This window comes from Homo sapiens, chromosome 2 (genome assembly GCF_000001405.40).
Source record: "Homo sapiens chromosome 2, GRCh38.p14 Primary Assembly".
Taxonomy (NCBI): Eukaryota; Metazoa; Chordata; class Mammalia; order Primates; family Hominidae; genus Homo; species Homo sapiens.
This window is the reverse complement of record NC_000002.12, coordinates 232,821,652-232,835,961: the sequence shown is the minus strand read 5'-3', so window position 1 is coordinate 232,835,961 and position 14,310 is coordinate 232,821,652. Positions and strand designations below refer to the sequence as shown.

The 14,310-nt window shown below is 39.4% G+C and overlaps 1 protein-coding gene across 5 annotated transcripts in view; it reads right to left on the bottom strand.

The window, feature by feature from the left end:
- GIGYF2 (GRB10 interacting GYF protein 2) overlaps positions 1 to 14,310 on the bottom strand; it is a 163,275-nt gene that overhangs the window by 24,644 nt on the left and 124,321 nt on the right. For all 5 annotated transcript variants that reach the window (NR_103492.1, NM_001103146.3, NM_015575.4 and 2 more), the window contains one exon: positions 2,869 to 3,105. Coding sequence is in view for 4 of the 5 variants with exons in the window: in NM_001103146.3 (NP_001096616.1) it covers positions 2,869 to 3,105 (237 nt within the window). In the remaining variant the exon portion in view is untranslated. The remainder of the gene's footprint in view (positions 1 to 2,868; positions 3,106 to 14,310) is intronic.

Below are 14,310 nucleotides of genomic sequence, written 5' to 3'. Positions count from 1 at the left end.
ATTTAGGGGTAAGGTTAGGACTGTAATCCGAGAGTTATCTCGGGGTCAGCGCTGCAGCCACACGCACCACCAGGGATATTCTCAGGGCAAACGGGAAATGGGTTAAGAACAACAGAGCAATCAGCTAGCAATAAGTGGAGTGAAACAGCTGGGTGTGGAAAAGACAATCAAAGAGAGCCCTGCCAAACCCACGGTCACCTCGGAGTCACTCTGGGCACACCCAGTGCTATATCCCCAACATGGGCAAGAGCAAGGGCTTCAACATGGTCGGGGGGAGGAGGGGAGAACTGGATTCCACTAAAATAATCCATCCAGTCACAAAACAAATAAACAAACAAGTAAGAAAATCAAGCTGGGAAGGGCGGGTGGAGATACCCAGAGTTGCTAGAAGACATTATCAAAAAGTCCAGCTGCCAATAAAAAATTACGATACATGCAAGAAACAGGAAAGTATAACCCATACACTGGGGAAAAAAGCAGGCAACAAAAACTGCCTGTGAGAGTGAACAAGATGTCAGATTTCACAAAGACTTCGCATATGTTATAAAAGTTGTTCAGGGAACCTAAGGAAGCTATAACTAAAGTAGTAAAGGAAGGTATGATGACAGTGTCACACCAAATAAAGAATATTGATAAAGAGATAGATGATATTTTTTAAAAAACCAAAAGGAAATTCTGGAGTACCAAAGTATAATAACTGAAATTAAAAACTGCCCATCAACAGAGGATTGGATAAAGAAAATGTGGTGTTTATATAAGGCATGGAATGCTACTCAGCCACAAAAAAGAATGAAATCTTGTCTTTCACAGCAACACAGATGGAACTGGAGGCTATTGTCCTAAGTAAGGTAACCCAGAAACAGAAAGTCAAATACTGCATGTTCTCACTTATAAGTGGGGGCTAAACAAACAGGCACACAAAGTGGAATAATGGACACTGGAGACCCCCAAAGCTGGGAGAATACGAGGTGAGTAAGGGTTGAACAATCACCTACTGGGTACAATGCTCACTATTTAGGAGATAAGTACACGAAAAGCCTGGACTTCACCACTGTGCAATATATGCTATTAAGAAAACTACACTTGCATGCCCTAAATATATATAAAAAACTTTTAGTTAAAAAAAAAATCACTAGAGGTACACTATAGTGTATCTGAACTGGCAAAAGAAAGAAACTTAAAGATAGATCAATACAGATTACACAAAGAATAGAGAGAAGAACATGAAAACTGAAGAGAGCCTTAGAGAAATGAGACACCATTAAGTGCATGAAGTGCATCAACATAAGCATCACTCAAGTGCCTGAAGGAGAGAGAGAAAGGAACAGAACATACAATTGAAGAAATAATGGCTAAAAACTTCTCCAGTTTATGGAAAAACATTAATCTATACATCCAGGAAGCACCATGAATTCTGAGTAGATTAAACACAAGGAGATCCACAAACAGACACGTCATAGTAAAAATGCTGAAAGCCAGACTCAGTTTGGAAGTTACCTTTTTTCAAGAAGCCTCTCCAAACTTCCCAGATGGACAGTGGTTCTCACATTTTAGAGAGCATGGGTTTGTTTAAATACAAGATTTCTCAGTTCCACCCTTAGAGGTTCTGATTCAATAGGTCTGGGGTGCGAATCTGCACATCTCACAAGTTCCCAAGTGACGGAACTCTGAGAATGACTGACTCCATGCCACCTCTCCCACTATACTCACCATACTGTATTCTACTTGCCTGTTTATGTGTCTAACCTGTGAGCTACTTGAAGATAGGGGACACTAAACCTTACTGCGCACTGCAGACCCAGCATGAAGTTATGCAGAACCTGCCATAAGTCTGCTCCTCCCTTCCCAATTACTCCAATTCCATCAACAGTTCCACTATCTTCTCAGTCACTGAAACTTATCTGGCAGGCACCCCAGCTTCTGCCTTCCTCCCTCAGCTCCAGAGACTAATTAATTCTTGCTGACTGCTATCAGGCCAGCTCCCTCCTGCTGGCCTCTCCTATTCATTCACACCAGCACCAACACAGCCTCTTTACTAGGCTCCCAGTATTTACTTTCTCCTTATTAAAAAAAAAAAAAAAGTTTTGAATCCTCTTTAAAACAACACTTTGTATATATCACCTCTTAATGTAACTTTCAATAAATGCCTATGGCCAACTCTGTTTCAAGCCCTATATTCTAGTTCCCATTTACACATCTGAACGTTTACATGCCTATATTTTTAAGTTGGTGAGCTCTCTGGGAGCAACTGCCTTGTCTCATTTATGTTTGTCTCAGCAGCGCTGAACTGGTATGGAATAGGCACTCCAGTGTTTACTGAGCCACATTAAATTTACAAACCAAACAGATTTACTTGTTTTGCCTGCATTGCTGCTCATGTCCTATCCTCTTGTTTACTCCTCTCTCATTTAAATGCCTAATACAAAGTATGTGCATTATGTATCTTATTGATGATCAAAAAACCAAAGTACTAATATTCAACGATAAAGAAAGTACTGGGCACAGTGGCTCACACCTGTAATCCCAGCACTGGGCAACATGGTGAAACACCATCTCTACTAAAAATATAAAAAACTAGCTGGGTGTGGTGGGGCATGCCTGTAGTCTCAGCTACTGGGAAGGCTGAGGTGGGAGGATCATATGAGCTGCCCAAGGAAGTTGAGGTTACAGTGAACCAAGATCGCACCACTGCACTCCAGCCTGGGTGATGGGAGTGAGACCCAGTCTCAAAAATAAATAAATAATTTAAAATATTTTAATATTAAAAAAAGAAAGAAAGAACAGTTTTACTGCTACTGGTACAGCCAGCACCTACCTAACTAAAAAATGTTAGCAAGGAGCTCCTAAGGTTGATGCCTCGGGCTTTACCTTCATCTGCGCCAGCTGTTGTTGCTGCTGCTGCTGCTGCAACCTCCGGAGAGCCTCTTGCTGCTGCTGCCTCTGGCGCATTAACTCCTTCTGCCGCTGGACCTCCAGCTCCTTTCTCTTCCGTTCTTCTTCCTCATGCCGGAGTCTGGCTGCCTCCTCTTCCATCCGCAGCCGGTTCTCCTCTAATCGACGCTGGGCTTCTTCTTCTTCCCGGGCCCATTTTGCAGCCTCCTCTTCCTTTCCAGAAGGAAAAATTAAAGATATAAAAATTTTATTAATTGTGGGGGGAAAAATCTGACTCACTTTTGAAAGCTTCTGTCAAATGGCTATAGAGATGACAGAGAAAGCAGAAACTCTGTTCATGATGATGCAAGGTAGAAGTAACCTTTCTTTTAAAATATATTTATAGTAGCCACAAAGGCCTGGTATGCTTACAGGATGAAATTTTAATTAAAGGACTGTCATTTTAAACATGTGCAGTCAAAGCTCTGATCTCGAAGCAGCTCACCATCAACTACAGGAAAGTCTCCTGGAAACACTGCTCCAACATGTGAGGTGAGCAGGCCTTTCAGGGTGCTGAGCGCTAAGAGCTACCAATACCTTTTAAGAATGCTGATTACCATGAAAGCACCAGCCAGTTCTGGAACCAAAGCAACTTTCCAAGACCACAGAATTCCATCCCTGGCTCTTGCCCCTTGTGGCCCACAGGCCCTTCAGAACATCTCTCCTCAACCAGTCCTCTACCATCTACTGCATTTGCCCTCACCTGGGCTCATTTTCCTTCTGCTTCCTTCCCTCAAAACCATTCCATTGTGCCCTGCGGAACTCATTTCACTAAGAAATTCCCTTCATCTTTGGAGTCTGCTGTGTCTGCAATGCTTTGTCTTACCCATATCATATTCCTCTACTTCATTCTTTAAAACGTAGGTCAGATAGAAGTCAGCCACTCGGAGACTTGCCTAGCCTTTAGGAGGTATACTTCACCTTTGCCTTTTGATTAAGGTCAACTATACCCTGTCCTTATCTATTTGCTTCTAGTCCACCTATGGCAGCTCCTGTTTCTACCTATCCAATAACCACTACCTTTGTCAGGCTTATTCCTGGCAGACAAAGCCTCCTGCCACATCAGAGGTTTAAAATGTCAGATTTTGCTTTTAAGCTTCCAGTGTTAACTAGGGGTAGCCATGTGATCCAACTGGGGTCAAAGAGATGTCTACTGGGAGACCTCTAAGGAAGAAATTCTTCCCAGATAAAAGGAAGAAAGCATGAGAGAAGGGCCATTTCCTGTCTGGATACAGGTTGCACACACTGTGATATCCAAAACTCTTAACCATGACGTGAAACATCTGAACTCAAAAGTCAACACACCAGGAAATGGCAGAGGAGGAGTATGCAAAGGCCGTAAATACTTAATGGCATTCACTGAATCACTGAAGCAAGTGTACAACAGGCTGATGGGCAGACCTCCTTAGAGTGTGAGGCAACAATTTCATTTATTATTAAAGCCACCTTAAATGGGTATTTTTATTTTGGAGCTGAAAGTATCCTAATGATGGCGCTTACTTCTTGTATATTCATCACACACATAGGCTGTGCTTCTTGAGGACAGAAACAATTTCCTAAAAAGTCTTATACTCCACCAGAAAACAAGCACAGTAACTGGCATGTAGTACATTAACTAAACATGTTAACTGTTAAATGAATAAACCAAAGAATGAATCAACACACAATGTAACTTGGAAGCTATCTATGTCTAACAGAATTTAGGTTTCTGAAAAAAAATCTCAATTTAGAACACAGGCAAAAGTAAGCAAAACTCTACATTCTTAAGTGTGGACTGCACAGAGTGACTTCCAAGGAGTCAGTACAGTCCTGACTTACAGTACTACTTACAGTAGTAAGGGGGGAGGTAACTTACGGTGGAGAAACCTGGCAAATACTACTTCAGCCAGGTGATCAAGGTCTACATCAGCAGTCCCAAACACTGTTGGCAATACGTGTACCCCTTGATTTGATGTGATGAAAATGCCACCTTGCCTCTGTGATCTTCCTCCCAAATACCCATAGTCCAGTCTATTCATGAGAAAAACTTCAGATAAATTCCAATCAAGGGGTACCCTATAATATACTAACCAATATTTCTTAAAACTGTCAAAGTCATCAAAAACAAGGAAGTCTAAGAAACTGTCATAGCCAAGAAGGGCCTAAAGAGACATGACAGCTAAATGTAATATGATATTCTCTTTTTTACAAGTTATTATCATTATTTTTTTTTTGTAGAGACAGGGTCTCGCTATGTTGCTCAGGATGTTCTTGAACTCCTGGCCTCAGCGATCCTTCTGCCTCAGCCTCTTGAGTCGTGGGGATTACAAGTGTTAGCCACTGTGCCCAGCTAATACGATATTCTGAATGGAATCCTGGAACAGAAAAAGGACATTAGGGAAAAGCTTTAAAAATCTCAATAAACAATGGATGTTAGTTAATAATAATGCATTAGCACCAGTTTATTAGTTGTAACAAATGTACCATACTCATGTAAGATATTAACAGCAGGGGAAACTGTGTGCAAGGGGAAATATGGAAGCTCTGTGTATTATATTCCCAGTTTCTCTGAAAATCTAACACTGTTCTGAAAATAAAGTCTACCAATAAAAAAAAAATCTATGTCTTAAACATTAAATAAAATGATTTGGGGGTTCTAGTTTCTTATAATGACAGAGTACCATGGTTGGACCAACTGTCACACATGTAATTATAAAAGCTGAACTAAACATCAATGAACTAAAAACGAAAAAAAGAACAGGTATACTGAGCCAGGCCCAGTGGTTTGTGCCTGTAATCCCAACTACTAAGGAAGCTGAAGTGAGAGGATCACATGAGGTCAGGAATTTGAGATGAGACTGGGCAATACAGTGAGACTCCTGTCTCCAAAAACATAAAGTAAAAATTAGCCAGGTATGGGGCATGTGCCTGCAGTCCCAGGTACTTGAGAGGCTGAGACAGGAGGATCGCTTGAGCCCCTGGAGTTCAAGGTTGTAGTGAGTTATAATCACACCACTGCACTCCAGCCTGGGCGACAGAGTGGGACACTGTCAATAAAAATAAATAAATAAATAAACAAACAAACAAACGAATGAATGAATGAACACCAGAGAGAAATCAAAGAAGAGTCTACCTTTCCCTGCCTGCCAACTGTCTACTGTCAACTGTCTACTAATCAGAAAGCATAACTTTGAAAAAATACATGTAAGATTTTTATTTATGTTTTGCCTAAGGGCACTCCCCCATTCACCAGCAAGGGGCTCAAAGTGTTACTAGCAGTTTTGGTGGTCAAAAGAGAGAGTTCTGGGATAAAGAAGCAGACATTAACCTGGGGGGGAAATTTGGAAGGGGGACCATCAGAAGGAAGGGAACCAGAAAGAGATGAGCCCCCAAATCTCTAGAAATCCTTGGCTGGCTCATAAACTACAGGCATGAAGTAGACCTCGGGATCAAGCTAAAAGGTGCAGCTGGAAGCTGGAAAAACTCAGTAACTGAGATTAGAGATTTCTGCTGCTCTACCATGAGTGGAGTGCAATGTTGAAGACTGAATTGACCAAGGTAACTGCCAGCCAGAACTAAACTCTCTCTAAAGGAACAAATCAGAATGCATAATCTCTATCATCTACCATTCAGAATGTTCCTTATACAATTTTTTTATTATAAAAATCAGTAGATACATACAAAAATGGAATAAGGAAAAAAATATATACCGTGCAAACACCAAAGACTACTAGAATGGCAACCTTAACGTCAATTTAATAGACTTTAAGACAAGGAATACAATCAGAGGTAAATAGGAACATTTCGTAACAATAAAAGGTTCACTAAGAAGACAGAACTATATAAATGTATATGCAAGTAGTAATAGAGCCTCAAGACACAAGAGCAAATACTAACATTTAAAGGAAGAAATGAACAAATCAAAAACTGCAGTTTCAGATTTTAGCATCTGTTTTCTTAAGATGAAAATGCATGGCTAATTTTGAAAAAATTTTAGCATCTCTCCCAGGAATCAATATAACAACTAGATAAAAATTAATTAAGGATATAAAATATTTAAATGTTACCAACCACCCTGACCTAATTGTCATTCATGAAACACTACACTCAACAATTGAGAAATACACATTCTTTTCAAATGTAGGAGGCCAAGCTTGGTAGCTCCTGCCTATAATTCTAGCACTTTGGGGGGCTGAGGCAGGAGGATTGTTTGAGGCCAGGAATTCAAGACCAGCCTGGGCAACACAGCAGGACCCCATCTCTACACACTGTATATATTTTTAAATTTGTTTCCTTTTTAAAAAAACTAGTTAGATTCAGCAGTGGGGGGTTGTATACTAACTTCAGTGACACTAATAATTTTAATAAATTCTGATAACCCACTACCATCAGACCAGCCAAGACCCTGCCTCTATAAAAACTTTTTAAAAAATTAGCCATGCATGGTGGTATATGCTTGTAGTTTCAGCTACTCTGGTGGCTGAAGTGGGAGAATAGCTTGAACCAAGGAGTTCTAGGCTGCAGTGAGCTATGATCACACCATTGCACTTCACTGTGGGCAACAGAGTGAGACCTGGACTCAAACAAACGAACAAACAAACAAACAAAAAACCCCACCCAGAAATGCACATGGAATAATTCACCAAGACAAGACATATACTGAACCAAAAAAAAAAAAAAGTCAATAAATTTTTAAAAATTGGGATCTTACAGATTGTGTTCTCTGACTACAACATAATTAAGTTAGAACTAAATATAAGTAAGGGGCTAGGCACCATGGCTCATGCCTGTAATCCCAGCACTTTGGGAGGCCAAGGCAGGCTGACTGCTTGAGCCCAGGAGTTCAAGACCAGACTGGGCAACATGGCGAAACCCTATGTCTTCAAAAACAAAAATTAACCAGGTGTGGTAGCACACATCTGTGGTCCCACCTACTCAGGAGACTGAGGTGAGAGGATCACCTGAGCCCAGGGACATAAAGGCTGCAATGAGCTGTGACTATACCACTGTATTCCAGCCTGGGTGACAGAGTGAGACCCTGTCTCAAAAAAAAAGAAAAAGAAAAGAAAAGGCTCCCAAATACTTGGAAATTAAATAACCCATTCTCAAATAACTCATAAGCCAAAGTGGAAATTACAAAAATATTCAAAAGTGCTTTAAACTAAATAATAAAGAATGCAACATACTAAAAAGTGTGACACGTAATTAAAGTAATGCTCAGAGAGAAATATATTGCTTTACATGTATTTATTAAAAAGGAAGAAAGGTTTAAAATTTATTATCTAAATTTTTGTCTTAAGAAACTAGAAAAAGATGCAAATTCAACTCAAAGTAGAAGACAGAAAATAACTGTGTGGCAGGAATCAACGAAAAGATAAATAAGTAACAAAGCCAAAAGTTGGTTCTTTGTTCAATCCTTCAAAAGACTGATAAACGGAACACAAACTACCAATATGCAGAATAAAATGAGGACTATTGCTACCAACCAAGCATAAAAAGAATAACAATGAATAAAATTGTGCCATTGAATTTGACAGCTTTGTTAAAAGGACACAGATTACAAACACTGATAAAACAACCCGATTAGCCACATAATTCAAAGAAACTGAACTTTATAAAAAATCTCTCCACAAAGAAAACACTAGGCTCTGATGGTCTCAACGGTGAACTCTATCAAACACAAGCATGCCTCAAAGATACTGCAGGTTCAGTACCAGGCTACTGCAATAAAGTGAAGATCGCAATAAAGCAAGTCGTACAAAACTTTTGGTTTCCCGGTGCATATAAATGTTTATACTCTAAAGTAGTCTATCAAGTGTTTAACCACATTATGTCTTAAAAAACAATGTCTATACCTTGAAAATCCCGAGGGCCCTAGGATTTTCAGAATGGTAAATGAGCACTGGCTTCAACTTAGTCACCAGCCGCATTAACCGCTAACAAGAGAGTCAGCCTGTCCTTTGAGGCTTTGAGGCCAGGCACTGAGTTCTCCTCTCTAGCTAAGAAAGTCCTAGATGATATCTTCTTTTATTAGAAGGCTGTTTCACCTACATTGAAAATCTGTTGCTTAAAAAAATGCAACAATCATCTGAGCTTTCAGGAGTTGTATTCTTTTTTGATGGTCTTGGCTTGATGTTGATGGCTGCTGATCAGGGTGGTGGTTGCTGAAGGCTTGGGATGACTGTAGCAATTTCTTAAAATAAGACATCAGTGAAGTCTGCTGCATTGACTGACTCTACTTTCTATGAAAGATTTATCTGCAGTATGTGATGCTGTTTGATAGCATTTTATCTAGGGTAGAACTTCTTTCAAAATTGGAGTCAATCATATCCTTTGCCCACTTTTTGATGGGGTTGTTTTTTTCTTGTAAATTTGTTTAAGTTCTTTGCAGATTCTGGATATTAGCCCTTTGTCAGATGGGTAGATTGCAAAGCTTTTTCTCCCATTCTGTAGGATGCTTGTTCACTCTGATGATAGTTTCTTTTGCTGTGCAGAAGCTCTTTAATTAGATACCATTTGTCTATTTTGGCTTTTGTACACTTCTCAAAAGAAGACATTTATGCAGCCAACAGACATATGAAAAAATGCTCATCATCACTGGTCATCAGAGAAATGCAAATCAAAACCACAATGAGATACCATCTCACGCCAATTAGAATGGCAATCATTAAAAAGTCAGGAAAACAACAGATGCTAGAGAGGATGTGGAGAAATAGGAATGCTTTTACACTGTTGGTGGGAGTGTAAATTAGTTCAACCATTGTGGAAGACAGTGTGGCAATTCCTGAAGGATCTAGAACTAGAAATACTATTTGACCCAGCGATCCCATTACTGGGTATATACCCAAAGGATTATAAATCATGCTACTATAAAGACACATGCACACATGTTTATTCGGCCACTATTCAGAATAGCAAAGACTTGGAACCAACCCAAATGTCCATCAATGATAGACTGGATTAAGAAAATGTGGCACATATACACCATGGAATACTATGCAGCCATAAAAAAGGATGAGTTCATGTCCTTTGCAGGGACATGGATGAAGCTGGAAATCATCATTCTAAGCAAACTACCACAAGGACAGAAAACCAAACACCACATGTTCTCACTCACAGGTGGGAGTTGAACAATGAGAACACATGGACACAGGGCAGGGAACATCACACACCAGGGTCTGTCGAGGGGTGGGGGGCTGGGGGAGGGATAGCATTAGGAGAAATACCTAATGTAAATGACGAGTTGATGGGTACACAAACCAACATGGCACATGTATATCTATGTAACAAACCTGCATGCTGTGCACATGTACCCTAGAACTTAATTAAAAAAAAAATTGGAGTCAATCTCTCAAACCCTGCCACTGCTTTATCAACTACGTTTATGTAATCCTTTGTTGTCATTTCAACAATGTTCGCGACATCTTCACCAGGTGTAGATGCCATCTTAAGAAACTTCTTTATTTGCATATGGGAAGTAGTTGCTTCCATAAGAAGCAACTGCTGACACATTCAAACTTTACCATGAGATTATAGCAATTTAGTCACATCTTCAGGCTCTACTTCTGAATTCTAGTTCTCTTGCTATTTCCACCACATCCGCAGTTGCTTCCTCCACTGAAGTCTTGAACCCCTCACAGTCATCCATGAGGGTGGGAATCAACTTTTTCCAAACTTCTGTTAATGTTGACATTTTGACTTCCTCTCATGAATCACTAATGTTCTTTAATGGCATCTGGAATGGCAAATCCTTTACAGAAGGTTTTCAATTTACTCTGCCCAGATCCATCAGAGGAATCACTACCCATGACACACAGAGCATTATGAAGTATGTTTCTTAAATAATGACACTTGAACATCAAAATTAATCCTTGATCCACAGGCTGCAGAATGAATGTTATGTTGGCATGGATGAAAACAACATTAATTTCCTTGTACATCTCCATCAGAGTTCTTGGATGACTAGGGGCATTGTCAATGAGCAGTAATATTTTGAAAGGAGCAGTAGGTCTTCAACAGTGAGTTTAAAATATTCAATATACCACACTGTAAACAGATGTGCTGTCATCCAGGCTTTGCTGTTCCATTTATACAGCACAGGCAGAGTAGATTTAGTATAATTCTTAAAGACCCTAGGATTTTCAGAATGGTAAATGAGCACTGGCTTCAATTTTAAGTCACCAGCTGCATTAGCCCCTAAAAAGAGAGTCAGCCTGTCCTTTAAAGCTTTGAAGCCACGCACTGACTTCTCCTCTCTAGCTATGAAAGTCCTAGATAATATCTTCTAGTAGAACGCTGTTTCATTTATACTGAAAATATGTTGTTTAGTGCAACCACCTTCATCAATGATCTTAAGTAGGGCATCTGGATAACTTGCTGCAGCTTCTACATCAGCACTAGCTGCTTCACCTTGTGCTTTTATTTTATGGAAATGGCTTCTTTCCTTAAACTTCATGAACCAACCACTGATAGCTTCAAACTTTTCTTCTTCAGCTTCATCACCTCTCTCGGCTTTCACAGAATTGAAGAGAGTTTTGAGGCCTTGTTCTGGATTAGGCTTTGGCTTAAGGGAATGTTGCGGCTGGTCTGATCTTCTATCCAGACCACTAAAACTATCTCCATATCAGCAATAAGGCTGTTTGGCTTTCTTGTCATTCATGTGTTCACTGGAGTAGCACTTTTAATTTTCTTCAATAACTTTTCCTTTGCATTTACAACTTAGCTAACTGGCACAGGGGGTCCTAGCCTTTGGCCTATCTCAGCTTCTGACATGCCTTCCTCACTAAGCTTAATCATTTCTAGCATTCAATTTAAAGTGTGAGACATGACTCTTCCTTTCACTTGAACCCTTAGAGGCCATTGTAGGTTATCCAATTGGCCTAATTTCCATAATGATGTGTCTCAGCGAATAGGGAGGTCGAAGGAGAGGAAGAGAGACAGGGAATAGCCAGTCAATAGTCAGAACATGCACTATAGGTATGGATTAAGTTTGCTGCCTTACATGGGCACAGTTCACGGCACTCCACAACAATTTCAATAGTGACATCAAAAATCACTTATTACAGATCACCGTAACAGATATAACAGTAAAAAAAATCTGAAACATTGCAAGAATTACCGAAGTGTGACACAGAGACAAAGTGAGCACATGCTGCTGGCCAACAGACTTGGTCGATGCAGGGCTGCCACAAGCCCTTCAATTCGTAAAAAATGAAATACGTGCAAAGCACAAGAAAGTGAAGCACAATAAAATGAGGTATGCCTCTATTCAATGAAGAAATAATTCCAATCTTACACAAACTTTTTCGGAAAACAATGAAAGTATCACATTCCAATTTAAGAGGCCAGTATAAACCTAACACCAAAAGGGGACAAAAGCATTACAAGAAAATTACAGGTCAGGTTGCGGTGGCTCACTCCTGTAATCCCACCACTTTGGGAGGCTGAGACAAGAAAACTGCTTGAGTCCAGGAATTCAAGACCAGCCTGAGCAACACAGCAAGACCCCATATCTCTACAAAAAATAAAAAAATTAGCCAGGAGTGGTGGCATGAGCATGTGGCCCAAGCTACTGAGGTGGCTGAGGTGGGAGGCTTGACTGAGCATGGTAGGTTGAGGCTGTAGTGAGCCAAGACTGCAGCCTGGGTGACAGTGTGAGACCATCTCAATAAAAAAAAAAAAAAAGAAAGAAAGAAAGGAAAAAGAGAAAGAAAATTGTAGACCTATCTCTCCCTCATGAACACAGATGCAAATATTCTTAACAAAACAGTACCAAATTAGATGCAAATATTCTTAACAAAACAGTACCAAATTAGGTTAACATATGTATCAAGTAGGGTGGTAATCCAGGAACACAAAGTTGACTTAACCTTCAAACCTCAGTTATTAATAACTCAGTTATTAATATTAATATTAATAATTCACCATATAAGCAGAATGAAAAAACTAAATGATCATCAATCAATGCAGATAAAGCATTTTACAACCTCAGTATCTATTCATTGAAAAACTTTCAGTAAACTAGGACTGGAAAGAAACTTCTTCAGCTGGATAATGGATACCTATGAAAAACTATCAATATATTTAATGGTGAAATACCGGACATTTTCACCCCAATACTGGAAATAAGGCTATTATACATTTTAACCACTTCTATCCAAGGTTGGAAAGGAAGAATTAAAACTGCTCCTATTTATCAATAAGATTCCATAGAAAATCCTAAGGAATCAACAAAAATACTATTGGAGGTACTAAGTTGAGTTTCACAAGGTGTCAGAATATAAGATCTATATATGAAAACCAATCAATTCCATTTCTATAGAACTGGCAATTCCAATTCCATAGAACTGGAAAATAAACAGCTTTTCCCCCTCCGAGACAGAGTCTTGCCCTGTCGCCCAGGCTGGAATGCAGGGGTGCCTCGGGTCACTGCAACCTCCGCCTCCCGCGTTCAAGCAGTTCTCCTGCCTCAGCCACCCAAGTAACTGGGATTACAGGCGCACGCCACCACGCCCAGCTAATTTTTGTATTTTTAGTAGACACAGGGTTTCACCCTGTTGGCCAGGCTGGTCTCGAACTCCTGACTTCGTGATCTGCCCGCCTTGGCCTCCCAAAGTGCTGAGATTACAGGCATGAGCCACTGCACCCAGCCTGCTGGAAAATAAACTTTTAAAATTCCACTCATAATAGCAAAAAAGAAAAAAATCAGTTTTTTAAAGATGTACATAACCTGTATAACGAAAACAAAATGGTACTGAGAAAAAACAAGGAAAACATAAACAAATGGAAAGTTATACCATGTTCATTGCCTGGAAGCCTCAGTATATCTTAAAATGTGAATTCTCTTCAATTTAGATTCCACACAATCCATATCATAACCACAGGAGGCTTTTACTTATATAGAAATTAAGAAGATAATTTTAAATTTTAATAGGAAGGCAAAAGATCTTAGTCAAGCAGTCTTGAATAAAAAGGCAAAGCTGGAAGACATACTGACTTACTTCTGTTACTATAAAGGTACAGTAGTAATCAAATCAGTGTGTACTCATTTAAGGACAGGCAAACTTATCAATGGAAGAAAAGGGAAGAGTCCAGTAAAAAAAAAAAAAAAAATATTTATACAATTGACTTTGACAAAAGCATCAAAAATTCAATAGAAAAAGTAAAGACTTTGCAAAAACAGGCACTGGAACAACCCATACCTCATATCATACAGAAAAAACAATTCAAACTATTTGTAAAACGAAAACTATAAAGCTTTAAAAAAAATACAGGAGATATTTTAATAATCTGTAGGTTGGCAAGTATTTCTTACATAGAAACAAAAAAACACTAATAAAAGACAAATTTAATAGGATTTCATCAAAATTAAAAATCTCTGCTTATCAAAAGATCCCCCTA